The sequence below is a fragment of the Homo sapiens genome, chromosome 19 (genome assembly GCF_000001405.40).
Source record: "Homo sapiens chromosome 19, GRCh38.p14 Primary Assembly".
Lineage (NCBI taxonomy): Eukaryota > Metazoa > Chordata > Mammalia > Primates > Hominidae > Homo > Homo sapiens.
Window position 1 is genome coordinate 46,234,325 of NC_000019.10, and position 27,713 is coordinate 46,262,037.

Below are 27,713 nucleotides of genomic sequence, written 5' to 3' on the forward strand. Positions count from 1 at the left end.
ATAAATGTATATTTATTATAAAAGTGTAATTATGGCTCTAATTAATGATTATGGTGAATTTTAATAACTATAGCTATGAAAATATTCCAATAGATAAAAACAGTGCTAAAATATACAGTTAATATAAGAGTGATTACTTTAAGATAAATCTTGTAATTTTTGATCTAATAAATCTTCATAAAATATACATGATCATGAAGCACATCAATAGAATTAATCCTAATATTTATAGCAATACTTGGCGTGCTCTCTCTCATAAAAAATAACATTAATAGTAAAAAAAAAAAAAAGAAACAAAGAAATCGGCTGGGCATGGTGGCTCATGCCTGTAATCCCAGTACTTTGGGAGGCTGAGGCAGGCAGATCACGAGGTCAGGAGATCAAGACCATTCTGGCTAACATGGTGAAACCCCGTCTCTACTAAAAATACAAAAAAGGAGCCGGGTGTGGTGGCGGGCGCCTGTAGTCCCAGCTACTCAGGAGCTGAGGCAGGAGAATGGCATGAACCCAGGAGGTGGCGCTGGTAGTGAGCTGAGATCATGCCACTGTCCTCCAGCCTGGGCAACAGAGTGAGACTCCATCTCAAAAAATAATAATAATAATAATAAAGAAATGATGAAATTTAAAAATTCTATTTAATTTTGGGTTGTTTAATTTTCATTTGGGGCATGACTATGTGAAGTAATAAATTTTGTTTGGGCATTAATATGGGATGACCTATGTCTCCCGCAAAATTCATGTGTTGAAGTCCTAACCCCAGTATCTCTGAATATAACTGTATTTGGAGATAAGGTCTTTGAAAAGGCGATTACGGTAAAATGAGGTCATATGAGCAGGACCTAATCCAAGCTGACTGGTGTCCCTATAAGAAGAGGATATTAGGGCACAGACACACACACAGAGGCCATGTGAAGACACAGGGAGGAGTTGGCCATGGATAAGCCAAGAGATAGACCCTCAGAAGAAACCATCCTGCCAACACCTTGATCTCATACTTCTGGCTTCCAGAACTGTGAGGAACTGAATTTCTCCTGTTCAAGCCACCCCTCTGGTGCCCTTGATTATGGCAGTCCTGGGGGATTAACACAGGCAGAAGGAAAATGAAGGATGCAAGAGTCAGAGAAAGGAAGAAATCAAATGTACTTTCTCCTCATACAATTTTCAAAATTTCAGTTACTTTAGGAAAACACTTTTTGGGAAATTATTCTAAACTGGGTGTTTGGCGTTTTATTCTAAACTAGGTGTTTAGTGACTAGATACTTTCTTTTCTTTCATAACACATGGTATCTGATTTTCTGGGAAACTTTCTATTTGACAAGTGTGTGATCAGGGATCTCTACATGAATTCTCCACAGAAAGACTGATCTCATGGATCTAGAATTTGCAGTGGTTCTTGTGATTAGATACCTGAAGGAAATATTGCTCTTATGTGACATTAAAGAAGAAAAATATGACACTTACGGCAAGTAAAAAGACGGCGTGTGGTTCTATACGCTTGTCTGGGGCTTTTATTGTCTGCACCCTTTGGCCTTTTTGAGTTGCCAGCTTCTCCAGGTCCTCCAGCTTCTCATGAGTTGCATCTAGGATATATGAGGCAAAAAAGAAAACTCAGGGAAACTCCCTGCTCTGCCATTTCTGTGGTCCCAAGGTCCTCCCTTCGTCTGCCTTCTTACCCTACCTTTCTGAGTCTTCTTATGCTTGTTTTATAGCTGTACTGAGCAGGAGAGATATGGAAACATATGCCTACCTCGTCTTTCTGGAAGCAGAATTCCACTCCTACTGAAGGGTTTTGGTAAGAACACATTTGCCAGATCAATAATTGCCTACCAAGGATCAAACACTGTTTTGATTTGCCCCAATAAAGATACAACATCTGGCACAGCATCTGTGGTTGGGGCACAGTCTAGCTCTGGTTTTGAAAACTTACAAATACCTGCCCTTGTCTGTGATACAGTTTGGATGTTTGTCCCCTCCAACTCTCATGTTAAAATGTGATCTCCAATGTTGGAGGTGAGGCCTGGGGAGGTGTTTTGGTCATGGGAGGAGATTCCTCACAAATGGCTTGGTGCCCTCCCCATAGTAATAAGTGAGTTCTCACCCTGTTGGTTTGTGCAAGAGCTGGTAACAAGAGTCTGACATTTCTCTTGCTCCCTGTCTTGCCATGTGACATGCCTGCTCTTCCTTTGCCTTCTGCCATAATTGTAAGCTTCCTGAGGCCCTCACTAGAAGCAGATGCAGGCACCATGCTTCCTGTATACAGCTTATAGAACCACGAGCCAATTAAATCTCTTTTCTTTATAAATTACCCAGCCTTGGTATTTCTTTCTAGCAATGCAAATGGACTAATGTAGTCGCTTTATGAGGGGTCAGAACGTGAATTGCATGAGGACATGATGATAGTGCCCATTATCCCTGAATTTTTCACATCATGCAATTCACCTTCTGGGCCCCATATAGGGGAAGTGATTCTGGAAAATGTGGTTCCCATCTCAGAAGGGAGTGGGTGTTGGGGACAAGGTGATAATAGAAAGTCTAGCACAGTCCACCCCATTCAAAGATAAGCATGTATTGACACCCATTATAGCCATTTTCAACTTCAAAATAAAGGCAGCAACAATACCATTTTCCAAGTAATGTGATGCAACTATCAGTTTTACCACCCAAAGACTTTTAATCTTCTCTAGAGAAGAGGGGTTTGAAAATGCATTGTCCATCTCCCAGATGATTAACAACCTCTCTTACTATTTCATACTGTAAATACCAAGAATCAAACAATATAAACCAATACTTGATAGAGGAGTATGAAGGCATTGAGACAAACAGCAACGGAATCAGTTAACATAGAAAATATTCACATAGGCCAGGCATGTTGGCTCATGTCTGTAATCCCAGCACTTTGGGAGGCCAAGGCAGAAGGATCGCTTGAGTCCAGGAGTTCGAGACCAACCTGGGCAACACGGTGAAACCCCATCTCTCCAAAAAATAAAAAAAGAAATTAGCCAGGCATGGTGGTACACGCCTGTAGTCCCAGCTACTCAGGGGGCTGAGGCGGGTGGATCACTTGAGCCTCGAAGGTAAAGGTTGCAGTGAGCCGAGATCACGCCTCTGCACTCCTGTCTGCATGACAGAGTGAGACCCTGTCTGAAAAAAAGAAAAAAATAAATAAAATATGTTCACCTCAAAGTGAGGAAGATTATATAAAAGTCCAACTTAGTCCTTGTTTCAGCAGCTGGCCTAGAGGCTAAAGCTGGCATTTAAAAATTTCCTCTTTCAAGCCAGACACAGTGGCACATGCTTGTAATTCCCACGACTCAGGTGGCTGAGGTAGGAGGCTCACTTGAGTTCAGGATTTCAAGACCAGCCTGGGCAACATAGCAAAACTCCACCCGAAAAAAAAATGTTTTTCACTCCATTCTATAATCTCTTTGCTCTCAGCAACCACCTCATCTGATTGTGATTTTTTTTTTTTGTTTTTTAATGACTATATTGTCTTCTCTTCATCCTTACATGAATCACCCTCTCCCTCTCTCCCCGAAAAAATCAATCATTCCATTGTTAGAATGCAGTTTAGGGTCTATAAACTCCAAACTCAGTACATAATTAAAATTTATATTTGCACTTTGGGAGGCCGAGGTGGGCGGATCACGAGGTCATGAGATCGAGACCATCTTGGCCAACATGGTGAAACCCCATCTCTACTAAAAATACAAAAATTAGCTGGGCATGGTGGCACGTGCCTGTAGTCCCAGCTATTCGGGAGGCTGAGGCAGGAGAATCGCTTGAACCTGGGAGGCGGAGGTTGCAGTGAGCCGAGATCGAGCCACTGCTCTCCAGCCTGGGTGACAGAGCGAGACTCCATCTCAAAAAAAAAAAAATGTATATTCATTGGGACCTTGAACTCAGTCTTCAAGTTTTACATGCAGTACCATTAGTTTAAGTTCAGTTGATTCACTGTCTTTCTGTCTCCTTCCACAAACCAACCTCTTGCATCAGATGTTCTCCTTAACTTGCTTAGAGTGCTGCCATTTTTTGAATTTTTTTCCACTTTATCACCTGAAACCTCATTTCCATCTTAAGTAGGCCTCCCATGCATTGTCTAAGTATCTCCCTAGTAATTCCCAACATTTTCTTGTCCCAACTGCAGCCTAGTTCTCTCTTTAATAGAATTGTTTTACATCCCTCTCTTGTTGTAGATATGATTTCTCTACAACTCCATATATGAAAAAGATAAGGTGAATAGAGGATATTGTGAGCAACTCAGTTTCCCTTGCCACTTCCCAGATTGGTAGTCCAACCCCTTCTCTGTGTCTATTCCCTCCAGCCATGCTATTCTTTATTTATTCTTGTGGCCTCCTTGTATATTCACAGAGGACTTTGCTTTGCTCTGGTTGTGATTTTTAACCTGGTGAAATTACCCACGTCTTCATTCTTGAAGTATATATGCCATTAGGAGTCTTTTCTGTAATGAATTGTTATAGTTTTCCCATGTTTTACTATGGGACGTGGGAGTTCTAAGAGGCATCCCACAGAATGCCTTGTGTGAGTGGTATAGTTATACTCTCTTCTGCCCATTGTGTGGTAGCTACCCAATTCCCCCCTTGATAATCAGGACAATTTGCCACTTTTGGCCATTAGGCTTTACACAATTTCTTCTACCTTAGACTATATAACCATTCAATTAGAGCCAGGTTAATGCCTTCTACTTCCAAAGTCCACATCTCTGGAGTCAACAGCAAGAACATTCCCTGCCAAGGACTACTCCAGATTTCTGCATGCTTAACCCAAAGCAAAAATAAGACCTTTTGAATTAAGGGTGTTTATATCATTAATCTTCATCATATGCAATGTTGAGTTTTTTTTGCAAAGCAGATTCCTGGTTAAATTTTTTCAGAGCATCAAATTCCTTCTGGTGTAACAATATATTATTTGCACCAATTTTACCTGTATAGCAACTACTTTTCATTCTTATCTTATAAAACTTATCATTTGGTAAAAAAAAATTCTCACTTTTCCTGAATTTCCTGTTGGTTCCTTGTAATATCTTCCATCTAGGTCTTTCAACAGGGTGAGTTTCATATTGATAAGGAGTTCAGGAAGGGAGTTATCGAAAGATAAAGTAAGTGCACTGGCATTTTCTCCTTGAGAGGCTGGGTAAGTCAACAATAGATTAGACCTATGGAATATGAGAAACAGCAGGCTGTCCCTACAAGGTGGGAGACTGTTGACAGCTATGCTGAGCCTAAGGAAAAGAAGACAGCCATGAACTGTGTTCAGAATTAATTTGCCCCGACAGAAAATAGAGGCAGGGAAAATCAAGATACAGTACTCTGGAATGTGCATTTCCATGTCATTCTCATGAATGGTACAGTCTAACTAAGTTCAGTCATTTTCTCAGTACAAATTCTGATTCTTGCTCTCTCTGGTTGCATCTACTTGGCGAGCTGCCCTGGGCATGTCGTTTAGCTATCTCTATTTCGTTTTCATACCTCCCATACAGTGCCATGGAGTCCTTGTGTCTCCCTTGTGGCCACACAGAATGTTCAGACAATGAGCTTAATCACTTGATTTCTACTACTTAAACAGACAACTCTTGAAATCAATTTGGAATGTTTTTTGCTCCACCAAGTATTGCAAGACGTTAGCAAAGATCTCAGCTAGGTGCCCTTTATTAGAAAGCCATCATACAAATATTTGAAAAGATTCAATTCTGGCAATTCTGGGGAGTCGTCTCCATTTTACAGCTGCTTCTCTTTACTTGGGGAAGGTATAAGTAAATTACACCTTCCCCGAGCATCTCAGGGAGACACTCAGGGGAATCCCCTCTGGCTTCCCCGACTCTGTGTTATCAGTTAAGAAGCGCATGAACATTATTATGCATTGTGTAATGATATGGTTTCACTGTGTCCCCACCAAAATCTCATCTTGAATTGTAGCTCCAATAACTCCCACATGTTGTAGGAGGGACCCGGTGGGAGATCATTGAATCCTTGGGGCAGTTTCCCCATATAAGACTTATTCTTGCGGTAGTGAATAAGTCTCGCGAGATCTGATGGCTTTATACGTGGTTTCCCCTTTCTCTCGGCTCTTTCTCTCTTTGCCTGCCACCACCTAAGACATACCTTTGCTCTTCCTTCGTCTTCCACCATGACTGTGCGGCCTCCCCAGCCATGTGGAACTGTGAGTCCATTAAACCCCTTTCCTTTATAAATTACCCTGGTCTCAGCTATGTCTTTATTAGCAGCATGGGAACAGACTAATACGTGTAATATTGCTATCGGCATTTATCTAACAATGATATAGCTCTAAGCAGGTGTTCTGTGTTCTTACTACACACTATTTTCGCTACAGTGAAGCTGTATACCTGTTGATTCCCCATCTGGCCCATTGCAGCCAGATTTTTCTACCACTGGCAGGCTACACCTTGGCTCACTACAAGTCAATGTGTTTTGTATTTTTCTCTAGCCATATATGGTTTCAAAGATGTAGGAAGAGTATAGGTGGAGAACTGGATTTAGATAAGGCTGTGGTTTTCCTAAATGAGTCTTACCAAACAGTGGGGAGACAAAGGACAATGGAAATCAGCAGGCTGTAATTATAATGATTAAGCAAGGAATCTAAGGTAGATAAACAAGTGTTATGAAAGCCGTCTTGAATCAGAAGTCAGGCTGGTCGCGGTGGCTCATGCTTATAATCCCAGCACTTTGGGAGGCCAAGGCAGGTGGATTACTTGAGGTCAGGAGTTTGAGACCAGCCTGGCCGACATGGTGAAACCCCGTCTCTACAAAAATACAAAAACTAGCTGGGCATGGTGACATGTGCCTGTAATCACAGCTACTTGGGAGGATGAGGCAGGAGAATCACTTGAACCCAGGAGGTAGAGGTTGCAGTGAGCCGGGATGGAACCACTGAACTCCAGCCTGGGCAAGGGACCCAGACTCCATCTCAAAAAAAAAAAAAAAAAAAAAATGGCCGGGCGCAGTGGCTCACGCCTGTAATCCCAGCACTTTGGGAGGCTGAGGCGGGTGGATCACGAGGTCAGGAGATCGAGATCATCTTGGCCAACATGGTAAAACCCTGTCTCTACTGAAATACAAAAAATTAGCTGGGCGTGGTGGCGCATGCTTGTAGTCCCAGCTGCTCGGGAGGCTGAGGCAGGAGAATCGCTTGAACCCAGGAGGTGGAGGTTGCAGTGAGCTGAGATTGCGCCATAGCACTCCAGCCTGGTGACAGAGCAAGACTCCATCAAAAAAAAAAAAAAAAAAAAAAAAGCCGTCTTCAATCAGAAGTCACATATGAAGAGATAAGAATTCAAAACATCTTAGAATTCACATTCCAAATAGCTTAAATGGAACTGGGTTATTAAGAAAGAGGGCTAGAAACATAAAATGTACTAATGAACTCATCTAAATAAAGGAATAATGTGGTTAACAAGGCAGGCTATTTCAATAAAAAACAATTGCCTGAATGGCCAAATCTGTTGCCTGGGCAACAGAGCAAGACCGTGTCTCAAAAAACAAAGCAAGCAAACAAAACAAGACCTACTCAAGCCCAATCCTATCTCTAAAACAATTCTGTGCCCCTATTCTCTCCTTGCCAGTCTTCCTTATCTTCCTTCCTCCTTCCTAATCACCTTAATCTTAATCATGGTTAATCTTTAACAGCTGCTCCATCCTTTTCCCAACCGGTAAACTTCACCACATTCTTAGAATCCTAAACGACGTTCCCCCCATTCCTATTTTTCTGAGAGTTTTTATCATGAATGGGTGTTAAATTTTGTCAGATGCTTCTTCAGCATCAATTGATGTGGTCATGTTATTTTTCTTCTTTTGCGTGTTAATACGGTGCATTCCATTGATAGTGATTTTTGAAATATTCTGCCAGGCCTACATTCTAGAATAAAGCCTAATAGTCATGGTGTGTAATTATTTTTTATATTGCTGAATTTCATTTACAAATATTTTGTCAAGAATTTATTTTTCTTTTTTTTAAAAATGGAGTCTCCCTCTCGCCCAGGCTGGAGTGCAGTGATGTGATCTCGGCTCACTGCAACTTCCGCCTCTTGAGTTCAAGCGATTCTCCTGCCTCAGCCTCGTGAGTAGCTGGGATTACAGGCGTGCACCACCACACCCAGCTAATTTTTTGTATTTTCAGTAGAGATGAGGTTTCACCATGTTGGCCAGGCTGGTCTCAAACTCCTGACCTCAGGTGATCTGCCCGCCTTGGCCTCCCAAAGTGCTGGGATTACAGGCGTGAGCCACCGTGCCCAACCAAGGATTTTTGTATGAGGGATACTCATCTATAGTTTTATTGCTTGGTTGTTGTCATTGTTCTTTGTCTTTTTATGGTTTTGGTAACAGAGTAATTTGATTTCACAAAATAAATTGGGAAGTATTCCTTCCTATTCTATTCTCTGGATGAGATGGTACAGAACTGGTGTTAATTTCCCTTTAAACATTTGGTAGATCCTCAAGTCGACCATCTGGGCTTGGAGATTTCTTTTTTAGGAAATATTTTAAATTCTAAATTCAATTTCCTTAATAGTTATAAGGCTACTAAAATGATATATTTCATATTGGGTGTGTTGTGCTCATTTGTGCTTTTAAGTGGGTGGTCCATTTAATCTAAGTTGTCCAATTGTGTAGAGTTATTCCTAGTTTTCCATTATTAATCTTTTAGTGTCTGCAAAACCTATAGTGCTATCTCCTGTCTCATTATTGATATTGATAATTTGTGTCTTCTGTTTTTGATAGTTTTGCCAAAAATTTATACATTATTGATATTTTGAAAGAATTAACTCTTTATTTCATTGATTTTCTATACTGTTTTTCTGTTTTCAATTTTCATGACCCCTGCTTTCCTCTTTATTATTTCCTTCCTTCTCCTTGCTTTGGTTTATTTTGCTCTCTTATTTTTTTCTAGGTTCTTGCTGTGGGAGCTTAGATTATTGATTTTTCCTTTCCTTCCTTCCTTCTTTCCTTTCTTTCCTTTTCTTTCCTTTCCTTTCCTTTCCTTTTCTTTCCTTTCCTTTCCTTTCCTTTCCTTTCCTTTTCTTTCCTTTCCTTTCCTTTCCTTTCCTTTCCTTTCCTTTCCTTTCCTTTCCTTTCCTTTCCTTTTCTTTCCTTTCCTTGTCTTGTCTTTTCTTTTCTCTTCTTTTCTTTTTTTCTTGGAGTTTCACTCTTGTCGCCCATTCTGGAGTGTAGTGGCACGATGCAACCTCCGCCTCTTGGGTTCCAGCAATTCTCCTGCCTCAGCCTCCCGAGTACCTGGGACTACAAGCACCCGCCACCATGCCCGGCTAATTTTTGTATTTTTGGTAGAGATGGGGTTTCACCATGTTGGCCAGGCTGGTCTTGAACTCCTGATCCCAGGTGATCCACCTGCCTTGGCCTCCCAAAGTGCAGGGATTACAGTCTTGAGCCACTGTGCCTTACCTGATTGTTCCTTTTTTCTAATACAACTATTTAGTGCAATAAGTTTCACACTTAGCACTGCTTTATATATGTTCCACAAATTTTGATATATTGTATTTTCATTTCATTAAGTTAAATATACTTTTAAAAATCTTTGAGACTCATCTTTAAACCATGAGTTATTTAGAGTTGTGTTGCTTAGCTTCCAAGTGCTTGGAGATCTTTCTGTAATCGTTAGTTTGATCAAATTATGGTCAGAGAACACACTCTGTTAAATTTCAAAATTTTAGAACTTGTTGAGGTTTGTTTTATGGCTCTAGATAGAAGTCAATTCTCCATTACCATTTACAATGACATCAAAAATAACAAATACCTAGAATTAAATCTAAAGAAAGGTGAGAGACCTCTACAAAACTCTGCTGAAAGATGTTAGAGAAGACCTAAACAAATGGGAAATAAACCATATTTATGCTTTGGAAGACTCAATGTAATAAAGATGTCAATGTTCCCCAAATTGATCTATATATTCAAGGCAAACTCAACAAATATTACAGCAAGATTTTGTATAAGTTAACAAACTGATTCTAAAATTTATCAGAAAATGATGGCCAGGTGTGGTGGCTCACACATGTAATCCTAGCACTTTGGGAGGCCATGGCAGGAGGATCACTTGAGCCCAGGAGTTCAAGACTAGCCTGGGCAACACAGTGACACCCTGACTCTACTTGCACAAATTTAAAAAAAAAGGATCAGAAAATGAAAATGACAGAAAATGAAAATGACAATACAATATTGAAGAAACTAAACAAAGTTATAGGACTTACACTAACAGATCAGGAATTTTTATGAAATTATAATAATTTAGGGTGTGGTATTGTATAAGGTAAACAAATTTATCAATGGAAAAAAACAGAGTTCAGACACAGATCCACACATAGACAATCAGTGATTTGTGACAAATGTACCACTACAACTCACCAGGCAGACATTAGTCCTTTTAATAGATATCTATATGGGGGGAATGTATCTTGACCCTTATGTCACACCAAATGTGAAAATTAATTTGAAATGGATCATAGACTTAAAAGCAAAAGATTTCAAACTATAAAGCAGGATTTCCAAAAGCCAGTGTGAAGAGCATGGGCGCCCTCCTCCCAGCAAAACAACCATTTAACTGGTGAAAAAAAATTTTTAATAAAAACAACTAATTAAGTCTCTGGAAATTGTCCTTAGGGCATATCGCAAACGAAGAAATGTTTATTCAAGAAATTCTGTTAGCCAGGTGCGGTGGCTCACACCTGTAATCCCAACACTTTGGGAGGCTGAGGAGAGCAGATCACCTGAGGTCGGGAGTTCGAGACCAGCCTGACCAACATGGAGAAACCCCGTTTCTACTAAAAATACAAAATTAGCCGGGTGTGGTGGCGCATGCCTGTAATCCCAGCTACTTCGGAGGCTGAGGCAGGAGAATCCCTTGAACCTTGGAGGCAGAGGTTGCAGTGAGCCAAGATCACGCCACAGCACTCCAGCCTGATGACAGAGCAAGACTCTGTCTCAAAAAAAAAAAAAAAAAAAAAGAAAGAAAGAAAAAGAAAAAGACATTATACTCAATCTGTAAACAGCAGCAAGAGTCTGAGGGCATTTAAGCCACACATTACTCCTATTCCCCACATCCCCAGCCAACTCTGTAATTGAAGCTCTATTATGGTCAGTCACAGTCAAGAAAATGGGACTCCACCTCTCCCCAGCTCCCAGCCTAGGGCTACAGTTTCAGTTCAGAAAGGGCAGTGCACCAGCATCTTTTATCCTGCTGTCTCCATGTTGCGGATGTGCTATATTAGTTAGAAATTGTGGCTTGCAGCACCGGGGCTCCTTCTCCCATCCAGCCCCTCCTCCTAGCGTGGAAGTTCCACGCCAGGTTTAGCAGGTCAAGCACACTGGGCTTCACTGATCCTGCCTGAGTTCACTCATGGGGCAGAGGTTCCACACAAGAAAGGGCAAACCGAGAAGACGAACAGCTACCACCCCCTCCCAGTGTTCTAGCTGTAGAGGAAAGACATCACCGCAGGAGAAGCTAGCTGCTGTCCCTGACACCAGCTCCAGTCCAGCGGCTCAGTGGTTCTGCCCGGGGGAGAGGGAGGCCATCAGAACAGAGAGCTCCACAAGTATCCCTAAAACTGGCTTTACTTGAAATAAGAGTGTGGAGAAGTTGATGCTTAATGACATTGAAAAAATAAAAAAGGAAATTTTGGTGCTGAAAAACCAAAAAAGGGCTTGCAGTAGCAACAACAAACAAAAAGACAAGGCAGAAGCTTAACAGAGATAATCAGAAAAAGAGATAACTAAGAAGGGCCCTCCTGGAGTGAGAGACAGCCTCAAACCCTGGCAACACTCTGACTTGGCAAAGAAGCTAGACTTTAATCAGCCCACAAAATGATTTATGCATTGTGCTATAGGCCTATTAAAAAGAATAGAGCAATCAATTAACAATAAGAGGAGTCTAACAGATGCAAGTGATACCAACAGAGGCAGACAAGCCAGAAGCTTAACAGAAACATCAAGGAAAGGACAGTCAAAAAGAGGCCAGCTTATGCCATAACTATCTGGAGTAGTTAGAGAGACAGTGCGTATGCTTAGGGCTGCACCCTCTGGAGAGCACTAAGAAAGGTATAATTGTTCATATGTAATTATGTAATTATTACTTGTATGCATGTTATATAATTATTGCTTATATGTAATTGTGTAATTACTTATAAAAACAGCATAATCGCTTATTTCTTACCCTTTCTCCCCTTAACTGGTTTTAAAAGTCATGGCATGAAACAATATGTATGTAATTGTATTGCTGGGAAAAATAAAGAATCTGATTTTTAAATGGGCAAGAGGTCTGAATAGCCATGTATTAAAGGAAGACATACAAATAGTCAACGGATATATGAAAAAATGTTCAACAACACTTATCATCAGGGAAATGCAAATCAAAACCACACTGAGATGTCCCACTTCGGTTAAAATGGCTTTTATCAAAAAGACAAAGAATAACAGATGCTGGCAAGGATGCAGAGAAAGGGGAATGCTCATATACTGGAAATGCCCCTCCAGACCCAGACAGTAAAATTTACAAAACATTTAGAGAAGAATTAATACCAATCATTCACAAACTTTTCAAAAAAGTCAAACAGAACTTTCCAATTTACTCTGAGGTCTGTATTACCCTAACACCAAAATCAAAGATATCACAAGAAATTAAAAAGAAAAAACTACAGACCAACATCTCTTATGAATATAAATTCAAAAATCCTCAACAAAATATAGCAAACCAAATCCAGCAGCATATATAAAGAATGATATATCAGCCGGGCACAGTGGCTCACACCTGTAATCCCAGCACTTTGGGAGGCCAAGGTGGGTGGATCACGGGGTCGGGAGATCGAGACCATCCTGGCTAACATGGTGAAACCTCGTCTCTACTAAAAATACAAAAAATTAGCCCGGCATGGTGGCACGCTCCTGTAGTCCCAGCTACTTGGGAGGCTGAGGCAGGAGAATTGCTTGAACCCGGGAGGTGGAGATTGCAGTGAGCCAAGATCGTACCACTGCACTCCAGTCTGGGTGACAGAGCGAGACTCCGAAAAAAAAAAAAAAAAAAAAACAATGATACATCATGACCAAGTGGGATTTATCCCGGGGATGCAGTTGGTTCAACATAAGAAAATCAATCAATATAATATACCATATTACTAGACTATAGAGGAAGTCACGTAATTCTCTCAAATGATATTGAAAGAGCATTTGACAAAATCTACACTCTTTCATGATAAAGTACAAAGAACAAACTAGGAACAGAAGAGAGCTTCCTCAACCTGTTAAAGAGCATCTACAATAAACTCATAGCTAACATCATACTTAATTGTGAAAGATTGAATGCTCTCCCCCTAACATCAGGAACAGGATAAGTATATTCACTCTTACCACTCTATTCAACATAGCTCTGGAGGTTCAAGCCAGGAAAGTTAGGCAAGAAGAGAAAATGCATTCAGATTGAGCAAGATGAAGTAAAATGGTTTCTATTTGCAAATGACATGATCTTGTATGTTAAAAATCCTTAGGGCCAGGTACTGTAGCTCATGCCTGTAATCCCAGCATTTTGGGAGGCCAAGTGGGGAGAATCACTTGAGGCCAGGAGTTTCAAGCCACCCTGGTCAACACAATGAAACCCTGTCTCTACAAAAACAAAAAATAAACAAAATTAAAAAATTATAAGTACCTGAGGTGATAGATAGCGTAATTAACTGGATTTAATCATTCAACAAGTTAAGCCTACATTAAATCATCACATTTTACCCAATGTGAATAAACAATTATTCTTTGTCAATTTCCTAAAAAAATTCCTAGCAGAAAACGTGGAAGTAAATCTTGATGACCTCAAGTTAGGTAATATTTTCTTAGATATTACACCAAAAACACAAGAGACAAAAGGAAGAATAGACCTCATCAAAAATTAAAAACCTATGCACTGCAAGCATCAAGGAAATGAAGACAATCCACATAATGAGAGAAGTGTTTGCAAATCATGTATTTGATAAGGGATGAGTATCCAGAATATATTTTAAAACTCTTACAACTATATAATAATAAAATAAGCAACCCAATTAAAACATGGAAAAAATCTGAATAAACTTTTTTCAAAAAGGAATACAAATGGCCAATAAGCACATGGAAAAGATATTCAGCGTCATTATTCATTAAGGAAATGCAAATTAAAACTACACAGGATATCATACGCACCCACCCAGATGACTGTAATAAACAGGAAAATAGAAAATAACAAAGGTTGAAGAATCTGGAGAGAAATGTGAGCCCTCATACACTGCTGATGGGAATGTAATTGATGCGGCTCTGTGGAAAACAGTTTGCCAATTCCTCAAAAACTTAAACAGAATTACCATGTGGCGCAGCAATTCCACTCCTACATGTACACCCCAAAATAATTGAAAACAGGTTCTCAAGCAAATACATGTATATGTATGTTCATAACAGCACTATTCACAACAGCCCAAGTGTCCATCAACAGATGAATGGATAAATGAATGCTGATACATGGATACAATTGAATTTATTCAGTTATAAAAAGGAATGAAATACTAATAAATTCTACAATGGGGATACAATTGTAGAAATTGTAACAATGAAAACAATAAACAAAGTAAAAAAAAAGAAGGTGACACAAAAGTTCACATATGGTGTGATTCCATTTATATGAAATGTCCCAGATAGGTAAATCCATACAGATGGAAAGCCGACTGGTAGTTGCCAAGGGTGAGGGTAGAGGGGAAGGGGAGGAACAGCTAAGTAGGCATACAGTGGTCGGGGGCTGTGGAGCCAGGTGACTCGGAGCTAAAAAGCAATTCTGGAAGATGACTGAGCTACTCTTCTTTCAACTTGAGAGAGGAAGAGAAGGAAGGAGAGGAGGGAAAAGACAGGGAGGGGAAGAGAGGAGAGTGGGGCAGTGGAGGGGGAGAGAGAGAGAGAGAGAGATTGATGGTTGCGCAAAAAGAAGCTAGTGAACACAGCAGGCATTGCTCACCTTGATGGAATACACACAACAAAACTCTGTCCACCGCCTGGGCTGCCCTTACTTGAGCACACTCCTGGGGTAGTCAGGCCTCACTCCTGGGACATGGAGCCTCACTACTGCCTGGTGCTGAGAGCCCAGGGGCTCCAGTCAGCAGTGCTGGAAGCAGGGCCAGAAGTGCAGTTAGGACCACAGAGCTGGGTCTTGTTCAAGGACAGGATGATCCCCTTATTACAGCCCCAAGAGATTGCAGATCTGGTCTCCACTCTGGAGTGTCAACTGGCACAACCACAGTCCAATATCTGGAAGAGTCAGAGCTGATGAGCTGACAGGGGACCTCTGGGAGCCCCCAACCCTATCCACAGTGCTATAATCCTCCCTCCTCTCTTCTCCCTCCGCTCACCACACCCCTTCTCATCTGTGGTCCCTTCTGAGTCTGAGCCCAGGAGTTCAAAAACAAAGATCAGCTGAGAGCAGAAGGAGAATGACAATGTTTCTGGGGTCACCGGATCATGATCATTGGGGCACAAGATGATGTCTCTGAGTTTCTTTGGTTGCTGTAACAGCTCACAGTGGATTTTGGGACTGACTCTGGATGTAGGTCCTGGGGACTGGGCTTGGCAGGTGAGGAAATGCAGGGAGGGCTCTGGAAAGGGTTAAGCTTCTGGAATTTGCAGGTGGGGAGAGAGATTGCAATGCAGTCAGAGAGGACACGGGTGATTATGAGGTGGGAAACCGAGAATTAAACAGAAAAGAGAAAATTAAGTTTGAAGTTCAGAGGTACCTTAGGGATAACATTAGGCATTAGCTCAGCTTGGGGCTGGGGATGACTTACCGAAGATTCTGGGCACCATGGTTTAGGCTTCAGAGCAGCAGATGAGAGAGCAGCAGTGGAAATGGGTCAGTGACTTTACACAGGAGATTATTATAGGGTATGAACTTACCCATATTTAGGGAGGTGTGCAGAAGGAGTGGTTTCTTAAAAAGGGTGGGGCATGAAAAGCCACAGAAAGCATAACAAAATAAAAGCATTGACACATTAGTAGGATGCTACTGGACCTGTTCCAGGGCTGTCATGTTCTCAGACAGCTCAAAACTCAGGGCATGAAGGACATTTTCTCCGGTATTCACTGTGAGAACCTCATAGGGTTCCTGGAGGTAAAACTCTTAGAAAAGTGCAGAGGCTCCCCTTAGACTGGGCCCCCTGGAATTTTTAATTCTCAGATTGCTCCACCCTGAGCCTCCAGGAATTCATTCGTTAGACTTCATGTTTTCCTATCCTGGTACTGGTTCCCACAGGGGTTTCTGGTCATGGGTTTCTGTTGCAGTAGTTTTGATTCTCTGTATCCACCTGCCTGTGTCAACAAATCTTAGGGCAGTGGTTTGCCCTGTGACCCCACTCCTCTAATGGATATAAGAAGAAGTGTTAATTGTTTCTTTGTTCAGTATTCACTTTCTGTTAAGATGGAGTGATGAGTTCCAAGTTTCTTACATGCTTGACTGGAAACTGGAAGTCCCAGAGAACATTTCTTTAGAGATGAGGTCTCACTATGTTGCCCAGGTTAGACTTGAACTCTTGGGCTCAAGTGATCCTCCCACATCAGCCTCCTGAGTATCTGGGATTATAAGCATGTGCCATAGCACCGGCTCAAAAACCTACTTTTAATAATGTTCATCCTCTGCAAGCTGAGACTTTCTTTATGACCCAACATATGTGTGGGGTTCCCAGTTTACATGATATTTACAAACACGTTGACTTTACTGGATGCTTATACGTCCTCATTTCATTGTGCTTAAAGAGGAAACTGTAGCTCAGAGAGGTTAAGTACGTTTTGAAATGCCACAACTAGTAATGGTAAACCTGGGTCCCTAAAGTCACGAGAGAGAATTATGAGAGTATGATAGGAAACTTCAAAGGTACCGAAGGCAGAAACTGCTAACAGCATTGGTCTCTGAGGAGTGCAAACGAGCAAATGAGGGGGGAGGTAAAAGGAGGGGAAGGAGATTTTTATTTTTAATTTTCAAAAACCATGTGCTGAAAGTTTTATGCTTTGCATGCATATCTCTAATAATTTAGGGTGAATTTGGGTTGGGCAAATACCCAGGAGAGTGACCAATGGCAAGACAAGACAATGAGAGAGGTAAGCGTGAGTCCTATGGGATGCATAGAGTGAGTCCTTAATTCTCTATCAGTGAGGGAAGTTGGAAGCAGGGTGGGAAGGTTGGGAGAAAGAGAAACCCTGAAGGGAACTAAGTTACTGGGAGCAGGTGCTGGTAGGTGAGTCATGCTGTGGAAGCCTGTTTGCACTGTTTCAAGGAGTGACTCTTTGGTTGGATGAAAAAGGGACGCCGTGGGTGTAGGTAGAGAAGGTGCTGGAGGGGAAGGCAGGCCCAGGTAGCAAAGGGCCTTGTGGGACAAGCTGGGAGCCTGGGTTTCATCCTAGCGGTGGTGGGGAGTCGTTCAATAATTTTTTTGGTTTTTTCTTTTCTTTTCTTTTCTTTTTTTTTTTTTTGAGACAGAGTTTTGCTCTTGTTGCCCAGGCTGGAGTGCAATGGCGCCATCTCGGCTTATCACAACCTCTGCCTCCAAGGCTCAAGCAATTCTCCTGCGTCAGTCTCCCAAGTAGCCGGGATTACAGACATGCACCACCACACCCAGCTAATTTTTTTTAATTTTTATTTTTTGTATTTTTAGTAGAGATGGAGTTTCTCCATGTTGATCAGGCTGGTCTTGAACTCCCAACCTCAGGTGATCCACCCTCCTTCGGCCTCCCAAAGTGCTGGGATTACAGGTGTGAGCCACCGCGACTGGCCATCACTCAATAATTTTAAGCAGTGAAACTCATGACCAGATTTGCATTCTTCTAAAACCAGGCCCCACTCTGTGATCCTGGCGTGTCTTCCCAGACACCCGGGACTATCACAGTCACCACTGCAGCAGGGCAGCGTTTTCCAGCACACTATTATCACCTTGCTCATGTGTTTATTTACTTTGCAAAAATATTGGTTTGTTAGTGTCAGAGACAATTCCCCATGGATCTCTTGCTTTTTTGCTGGCCTGGCAGTGAGGCATTGACTGTCCTTTTGTTCCACACTCTTTTCAAGGATGTTTGTGTAGTGTACTGCCTTGGAAGACAGAGGTAAGGTTTCCCTTTAGAGCAAAGAATACTTGTTTACTGTCCTGTATAAAAATAATACTCTCTTCCTCCAGGTCATTTAGGCTCTGATAAAACCCTAATAATTTAGATTCTGGTAAAATGCTTTCTCTTAATGGCAGAGCTTGTTAAGAAGAACAGAATACTCTGGTGTGTTTCACAGCGGTTACTTTCCCCCTTCCCACTTCATGCCAGACCATGAAGGAGATTTTTCTCCCATATTCACTGTGAGAACCTGATAGGGTTCCTGGAGGTAAAACTCTTAGAAAAATGCAGAGGCTCCCCTTAGACTGGGCCCCCTGGAGTTTTTAATTCTCAGACTGCTCCGCCGTGAGCCTCCAGGAATTCATTCATTAGACTTCATGTTTTCCTGTCCTGGTACTGGTTCCCACAGGGGTTTCTGGTCATGGGTTTCTGTTGCAGTAGTTTTGATTCTCTGTATCCACCTGCCTGTCTCTCGAAATCTTAAGGGCAGTGGTTTGCTCTGTGATCCCACTCCTCTAATGGATGTAAGAATTGTTAATTTTCTCTTTGTTCAGTATTCACTTTCTGTTAAGATGCAGTGATGAGTTCCAAGCCTCTTACATGCTTGACTGGAAGCTGGGAGTCCCAGAGAACATTTCTTTAGAGATGAGGTATCACTATGTTGCCCAGGTTAGACTTGAACTCTCAGGCTCAAGTGATCCTCCCACATCAGCCTCCTGAGTATCTGGGATTATAGGCATCTGCCATAGCACCCAGCTCAAAAACCTACTTTTAATAATAATCATCCTTTGGAAGCTGAGACTTTCTTTATGACCCATCATATGATCAATTTAGCATAAATGTTTAACATAGACTTGAAAAAAATGTATGTTCTACCACTGATGAGAGAGAGATATTTATATATTTGCATATATAAAATTAGGCCAGGTGTGTTGGCTCACACCTGTAATCCCAGCACTTTGGGAGTCCGAGGTGGGCAGATCACCTGAGGTCAGGTGTTCAAGACCAGCCTGGCCAATATGGTGAAACCCAGTCTTTACTAAAAATACAAAAATTAGCTGGGTGTGGTGGTGGGCACCTGTAATCCCAGATGCTCGGGAGGCTGAGGCAGAAGAATCACTTGAACCTGGAAGGCAGAGGCTGCAGTGAGCTGAGACGGTGCCACTGCACTCCGGCCTGGGATATTGAGCGAGACTTCAACTTAAAAAAAAAAAAAATTTCTTGCATTTCTATACACTAACAATGAACAAGCCAAAAAGGAAATTAAGAAAACTACCTCATTTATAATACCATCAAAAAGAATAAAGTGCTTCAGGCCAGGCATGGTGGCTCACGCCTGTAATCCCAGCACTTTGGCAGGCTGAGGCAGGTGGATCACTTGAGGTCAGGAGTTCAAGACCAGCCTGGTCAACATGGTGAAACCCCGTCTCTACTAAAAATATGAAAATTAGCCGGGCATGGTGACGCTCGCCTGTAATCCTAGCTACTCCAGAGGCTGAGGCAAGAGAATTGCTTGAACCCAGGAGGGGGAGGTTACAGTGTGCCAAGATCATGCCACTGCACTCCAGCCTGGGCCACAGAGCAAGACTCTGTCTCAAAAAATAAAAATAAAAAAAGAATAAAATAATTCAGAATAAACTTAACCAAGAGAGCAAATGACTTGTATAGTGCAAACTACAAAACATTGTTGAAAAAAAGTAATGAAGACACAAATAAATGGAAAGACAGTCTGTGTTCATGGGTTGGAAGATTTAATATTGTAACAATGTCCATACTACCCAAAGTGATCTACAGCTTCAAAGCAATCTCTATCAAAATCTCAATGACAATTTTGCAGAAGCAGAAAAAATCCTAAAATTCGCATGGACTCTTAAGGGACCCTGAATAGACAAAATAATTTTGAAAAATAAAGAACAGGCCAGGCGCGGTGGCTCACGCCTGTAATCCCAACACTTTGGGAGGCCAAGGCAGGCGGATCACAAGGTCAGGAGATCGAGACCATCCTGGCTAACACAGCGAAACCCTGTCTTTACTAAAAAAAATACAAAAAATTAGCTGGGCATGGTGGTGGCCACATGTAGTCCCAGCTACTTGGGAGGCTGAGGCAGGAGAATGGTGTGAACCTGGAAGGCGGAGCTTGCAGTGAGCCGAGATCGCGCCACTGCACTCCAACCTGGGCAACAGAGCGAGACTCCATCTCAAAAAAAAAAAAAAAAAAATGAAGTTGGACCCTTATCTCTAACCATACACAAGAATTAGTTCAAAAAACTAATGAGATCCAAGGCCTAAATGCAAAAGTTAAAACTATAAAGCTCTTAGAAGAATACATAGGGAGAAAGCTTCCTGACATTGGACTTGGCAGATTTCTTGGATGTGACACCAAAAGTCCAGGCAAAATAGTAAACACCAATAAATTGAACTCCATCAAAGTCAGAAAGAAGAACAAACTTCAGGGCCATGTGTTGTGGGCATTTACCATGCCCTACAGGAATAGCCACAAACTTGATGATTCACTTTTAGGCAACAGATCTGGTTCCTTGGTTAACCAGTCCGGTTTCTTTAGCTTCCTTCCTTCCTGGAGGTTTTCCTATTCCGTTGTTAAGTGGGGCCAATGCCAAAAAGAAATTAGGGCAATCCCTGCTAGAGTATCTATCACCTTAATAGATTTCCTACTCCTACCAATTACTCAGGACGCAGATTCTTTGAGAAAGTTTCTCCTCCTTCCGAGACAAAATTTTACACATTAATATGTCTTATGCTACTTGCTGTTGCACATATCACTAATTGAAATGATACATTAATTTGCATAATTTGCTCATTTCTGTGCCTTCTTCTCTAGGCCGTGAGCTCCAGGGTGAAAGACTGAAGGCTCTTCCTCCAAGATCAGGAACAAGACAAAGAGACCTGCTTCTACCACTGCTATTTAACATTGTACTGGAGGTGCTAGCCAGAACCTTTAGAAAAAAAAAAAGAAAAGAAAAGAATTAAAAGCATCCAGAGAGAAAAGGAGGAGGAAGAAGAGGAGGAGGAGGTGAAACTGATGATAAAAACCCATCCAAGAATGTAAATGTGACATCTGCAGCAGGTTCAAATCTAAGCTATAAGACAAACGGAATCCTTCGTAAGGACTGTCATCTATTATGCACAGAGAGCCGAAATCCATTACTGAAATTCTCTTGGTGAGCCACCTGATGGGCCCAGTGACGTACTAGTACACACAGGAGTTGAAACAAAAAAAAGTCTGGCATATTCTTTGGATGACTGGCAGAGTGTGACACCAATATGGTACCCAGCCCTACTATCATTACAAGGACTTCATGACCAAAAAAATAATAGAGAATTGTTTTGGTGGTTAAAACAATTAAAAGCATCCAAATTGGAAAGGAAGAGGTAAAAGCATCTCTATTCACAGAAACATAATCTTATTTATAGAAAACACTAAACCTTCCACACACACACACCCCAAATAAAACACCTGTTAGAATTAACAAACAAGGCCGGGCGCAGTGGCTCACGCCTGTAATCCCAGCACTTTGAGAGGTCGAGGTGAGTGAATCACCTGAGGTCAGGAGTTCAAGACCAGTCTGGCCAACATGGCAAAACCCCGTCTCTACTATATACAAAAAATTAGCGGGGTGTGGTGGTACGCACCTGTAATCAAAGCTACTCAGGAGATGAAGGCAGGAGGATCGCTTGAACCTGGGAGACAGAGGTTGCAGTGAGCCGAGATTGCACCACTGCACTCCAGCCTGGGCGACAGAGTGAGGGTCTGTCTCAGAAAAAAAAAGAATTAACAAAAAATTCAGCAAAGTTGCAAAGTGTGAAATTGACACTCAAAACTCTATTGCATTTCTACACACTAACAAACCATGGGCAACACAGTGACCTCACCCTGTGTCACAGGGCCAGGTACACAGAGGTACTGAGTAAACATTTTAGTTTTCATTAAGTGGATAAATAAAACCAAAACCTATTATTTACCACTCTCCTTTAACACCTCTCTAAAAGCAGAAAGAGATACCTCCATGAGGGACTTTGTGACACTTTGGGCAAAACTAATGCTGGCACTAGTTTGGATGCATCAGCGAATGCTGGACTTCTCACGTTGAGGATTCTCCAGGTGCCCTCCTTGGGCTCATTTCTTCCATGGAGATAAAAGAGAACAGGGTTTTTTGGGGTTTTGGTTTTGGGTGTTTTTTTTTTCCAGAGACAAGGTCTCAACTATGTTCCCCAGGCTGGATGAACTTGGGCTCAAGCAATCATCTGGCCTCTGCCTCCAGAGTAGCTGGGACTACAGGCATGCACCACCACCATAGCCAGCTGTTTTTTTTTTTTTTTTTTTTTTTTTTACATAAATCCTTTCTATAATAAACATTGTCCCTGTGACAGCTAGCGCTCCTCAGTGTTGTCAACTAAGGGCTCACATACGAGCCCCATCCAGCCTGTCATCTCACATACTGCATGAATCCATTTATACAAAATATCCAGAAGAGACAAATTCGTAGAGATAGAAGACTAGTGGTTGCTGGAGGCTGAGAGAAGGAGAAAAAGAGGCGTGACTCCTTCATGGATACACGGTTCCTTTAGGGTGATGCGATTGTTTGGAAATAGTGGTAATGGTTGCACAACATTGTGAAAGCACTCACTGCCTCTGACTTGTACATTTTTAGAAACTTAATTTGACATTATGTGAATTTTACCTCAAAAAAAAATGCCATTCTGGACATAAGGCAGTACCAGCTTTGCCCTAACTCGTCTTCACACAGCACTGCCCACCTTACCGCCCTCTGCGTTCTTCACAGTGTTCTAACCCAACTCCCTTCAGAGCTCTACTGAGATATCACCTTCTTAGGGCAGCCTCACATACCATTCTCTCTAAAATAGCATCAGCCATCACCCTATGCCTTCATAATATGTTTCTTCGTCATAGAACTATTGCCACTGGAACTATCCCTATTTCTTTCATTTTTGGTGGTTTCTTTTTTGAGCTAGAAGCTCACTCCATCACCAAGGCTGGAGTGCAATGGTACAATCATGGCTTGCTGCAGCCTCCATGCTTGGGCTTAGGTGATCCTCCTGCCTCAGCCTCCTGAGTACCTAGGCAGGTGCCACCACACCTAGCTAACTTTTTAATTTTTTGTAGAGATGGGGTCTCACTCTGTTTCCCAGGCTGGTGTCAAACTCCTGGCCTCAAACAATCCTCCCATCTTGGCCTCCCCAAATCCTGAGATTGCAGGTATGGGCCACCATGCCTGGCCTTTTATCTTTTTAATTTTTGAAATGACCAATAGAATTTGAGATGATGGAATTAACATCTTGGTTCAGTGCTGGGTCCTCAGATCCCAAATAGCAGCAGGCACACCGTACTTTCTCAGCAAATGGCTACTAACTTAATTAACCAAACTAATTAAAGGAGGAAAGTCATATGATTTTATACATATATAATTATGAATAAAGAATTTGATGAAATACCTTCAGCAGAAATTTCTAATATGAAAGTATGACTAAGTAAAATAGGATTTTTAAAACCTTTATACATTTGAAGATGTTTATTATAAACCACCAGAAATCATCATATTATTCTCCTTAATATCCACATAAGACAGATATGTCTTCTTCAATCTCTATTATTCAGTATTACTTTGGTGTTGCTAACTATCGCAATACAGTAACATGTAGAAATGAGTTAGAGCCGGGTGTGGTGGCTCACGCCTGTAATCCCAGCACTTTGGAAGGCTGAGGTGGGCAGATTACCTGAGGTCAGGAGTTCAAGACCAGCCTGGCCAACATGGCAAAACCCCATCTCTACTAAAAATGCAAAAATTAGCTAGGCATGGTGGTGGATCCCTGTAATCCCAGCTACTCGGGAGGCTGAGAAAGGCGAGTCTCTTGAACCTGAAAGGCAGAAGTTGCAGTGAGCCGAGATTGTACCATTGCACTCCAGCCTGGGTGACAAGAGCAAAACTCCACCTCAAAAAAAAAAAAAGGAAAAGAAAAGAAATGAGCACTGGAAGAAAAGATATTATTATTTTTAGACAATATGTTTGTATATCCAGAAAACCCAAAAGATTTGCCTTAAAAGAAGATAAATGGATTAGGAATATTTAATATTTTGACTGAATATAAATTAAATGTACATACATCAACAGATAATGTTATACTAGCAATAACCAGGGGAATTGAAATGTAAAAAAGTAGAGTATTGCAAAAGGTTATGTTACACAGGAATTAATTGTATCAAGAAATATGTAAGATTTGTGGTAAGGAAACCATAAAGTGATACTTAAGAACATAAAACTAGATCTAATTTTAAAAAGTAAATAAACCTGGGCCAGGCAGGGTGGCACCCAGGCTGGAGTGTAATGGTGGGATCTTGGCTCACTGAAACCTCCAACTCCAGGCTGAAGCGATTCTTGGGCCTCAGTCTCCCCAGAGCTGGGATTACAGGCTCACATCATGCCCTGCTAATTTTTGTAGTTTTTGTAGAGATAGGGTTTCACTATGTTGCCCAGGCTGGTTTCAAACTCCTGAGCTCAGCTGATCTGCCTGCCTCAGCCTCCCAAAGTTCTGGTATTACGGGCGTGAGCCACTGCACCTGGCCACTTTTTTTTTTTTTTTTTTTTTTGAGACGGAGTGTCCCTCTGTCGCCCAGGCTGGAATGCAGTGGCGCGATCTCGCACACTACAAGCTCCACCTCCCAGGTTCACACCGTTCTCCTGCCTCAGCCTCCCGAGTAGCTGGGACTACAGGCACCCGCACCACGCCTGGCTAATTTTTTGTATTTTTTAGTAGAGACGGGGTTTCACCGTGTTAGCCAGGATGGTCACGATCTCCTGACCTCGTGATCCGCCCGCCTCGGCCTCCCAAAGTGCTGGGATCACAGGCGTGAGTCACCGTGCCCGGCCACCTGGCCACTTCTTCATTCTTGTTGGCTTTGAGTCACCAGAAAAAAAGTAAATTCTGCATCCTTATGTGGCCTATTGAATCTAAAATTACTTGTTGACTAGTTTCATCCCTTTTCTTCTAATGTATAATGTCACCTTTCTCATATATCAGTTTGCCATTATTAGCTTTATCTGTTGATGGACTCCTGCCAGGCAGGAGTGAGCAGCTCTGCCGCACGGGCTGGAGACCCCGCCCTCGGTGCTCAGCTGCCACTGCCTCGTGACAACGATGCTGAAAGAGCGAGGTTCTGAGAGGGAAATCAAAACAGATGGAGGAAGAGAAACAAGTGGAGGGAAAAGGAGAGGTGGATTGAATAGAGGCAAAAAAAAAAAAAAAAGTAAATAAACCTCTGGGACGGGAAGTATTAAACATTTTGGTCATTGTTCCCAAAGCCAAACAATATTTACAAAAAATTTTCATCTCAATCTGCACTTCTAAATTTTGCTATTTTTCAGGAGGAAGCTTTAGAAAATTACTTTGGAGATGTTAAAGCTAACTGCACAAATATTGTCAAGTAAAACTTGATAGAGTGTAATAGGGAGAGAAGATTTTTTTGTCTCTTATTATTATTATTATTTTGAGACGGAGTCTCGCTCTGTCGCCCAGGCTGGAGTGCATTGGCGAGATCTCGGCTCACTGCAAGCTCCGCCTCCTGGGTTCAGGCCATTCTCCTGCCTCAGCCTCCCGAGTAGCTGGGACTACAGGCGGCTGCAATCAAGCCCGGCTAATTTTTTGTATTTTTAGTAGAGACGGGGTTTCACCGTGTTAGCCAGGACGGTCTCGATCTCCTGACCTCGTGATCCGCCCGCCTCAGCCTTCCAAAGTGCTGGGATTACAGGCGTGAGCTACCGCGCCCGGCCTTTTTTGTCTATTATTAAAATTTGAAACAACGCCATTATAAATGAAGATGACACTACCTAGAGGTGGGAGGGCAGAGACAGACAGACACGGAGAATGGGGACTCCACCCAGTGCAGAACAAGTATGCAGCGCCCCGCTCCCCTGCACCCACAATGCCATGGAGAGGACCGGATCTCACCTACGAGAAAGCCTGTCACCCGAGGTCAGGGCTGAGGAGCACTTCTGGCCTTTCGTCTTCACCATGAGGGACGCCTGGGAGCTGAGGGACCGGGGCAGCACTGCTCGAAGCGACACTGAAGGTGCAGTTTCCACACTTCTGGGTCCTGCCCAAGGGCACGACAGCACTGTCATAGCAACAGTGCCGCAAGGGGTCGTAGAGCTTGTCCCCACTTCCCAAATGCCGCTGGCAGAGCATGAGGTAAGCACTTATGGGGCCACTGGAGGAGACAGAGCTGGTGAGGTCAGATGGTTGGTAGATGGGTCCCAGCCGGGGGTCCCCTGGGGGCCACACTCATCCCCCAGTTTCCCAGTCCCTCCTGGGCTCACCTGGGGCTCCGTGTGAGCAGAGGAGCCTGAGGATGCAGAGAGAGGCCAAGACTGCTGTGGGAGAGGGAAGGGGAAGAGGGGGTGATCGGGAAACCACAGGCGATCCTTGGAAGCCCAGCTTGGGGAAGGGGGGCTCCGAGGGAGTTTCTGCCCTGACTGAGACTCAGGGAAGGGCTAGAAGCTGACCTTGCCCTGCCTTCCTGCAGACACACGCTGGGCCCTGGGGTGAGAGAGGTCCCAGACAGGGGATGTGTCGTGGTGGATTTGATGCCAGGTCCTTTGAGAGCCAGGAGAGGACCGATGCTCCCTCCACCCTCAATCTCTCTGTGGTCAAGGGGTGCAGGCAGGACTCTCGGAAGAAATGGGCCTAGGGTTCAGGGCAATGTGGTTGTTTCCTGGTTTTGGAGGAGCTCAGAGCTGGGGCTCAGCTGGGGTCAGGGAGGGAAGGGGCTGCGCTGAGACTGGTGTTGTGCTATGGGTGTGACTGGCACCAACATTTAGAAAAAGATGGGGCTGGGATTGGAACTAGCGCTAGGCAAGACTTTGGGGAGTAGTTTGGGGACTGAAATGGCTGTGGATGGGGCTGGCCCGGGGGCTATGGATGGGGAATTGCTGTGATGGAGCCATGTCTGAGGAGGAGGCCGGGCATGGGGACAGGGATGAGGTGTAGTTTGGGGTGGGGAGTGAGCCTCGGTGGTGGCTGAGATGGGAGATGGGCTCGGGTGGGAATGGGGTCCTGTCCTCCTTACCCAGGACATGGCCTCGGGAGCCATGGCTCCGGGGTGGCTGGAGGGGAGTGAGTGGGTGATCAGCAGGTCTCAGCAGCTCCTTGGCTCCTATACTCCTAGAGGAGCTGGTGATACCGTGGGATGCCCTGCCTTCCTGCAGAGACATGCTGGGCCCTGGATCGAGACAGGTCCCAGACAGGGTATGTGTCATGGTGGATTTGATGCCAGATCCTTTGAGAGCCAGGAGAGGACCGATGCTCCCTCCACCCTCGGTCCCTCTCTCCTCCAGAATGGAGGCTTCTTTGGCAAATAGGAAATTGCAGGACACTCCTGGGGTTGTCCTCACCCTCCCACACTCACACAGCCACAGTCTTACAGCTGACCCTGTGAGTCTAGAGCTGAGACATGCACCGAAGGTTGCTGTATGACCTGGTCCCCTTCTAGACGTGAATCAGTGCGAGGGCCCAGGACAGCAGAAGAGGTGTGAGGCCATCCTGTGACAAGGGAGC

General features: G+C 43.0%; 1 long non-coding RNA gene and 1 pseudogene across 1 annotated transcript, besides 1 other annotated feature; both read right to left on the minus strand.

Moving 5' to 3' along the window:
• Window positions 1–1,482: 1,482 nt before the first annotated feature.
• On the minus strand, window positions 1,483–15,883 carry LOC124904728 (uncharacterized). The gene is made up of 2 exons (XR_007067273.1): window positions 15,821–15,883; window positions 1,483–1,580 (listed from the first exon to the last, which is right to left on the minus strand). It is a non-coding gene; the product is annotated as an uncharacterized LOC124904728 (long non-coding RNA).
• IGFL1P2 (IGF like family member 1 pseudogene 2) lies at window positions 26,111–26,537 on the minus strand (annotated as a pseudogene).
• Window positions 26,318–26,817: an enhancer, noted in NCBI's record as "H3K4me1 hESC enhancer chr19:46763899-46764398 (GRCh37/hg19 assembly coordinates)". NCBI's record gives its function as "activates a minimal SCP1, AML or CMV promoter by ChIP-STARR-seq in primed H9 embryonic stem cells {active_cell/tissue: H9 hESC(primed)}" and the evidence as "EXISTENCE:reporter gene assay evidence [ECO:0000049][PMID:30033119]".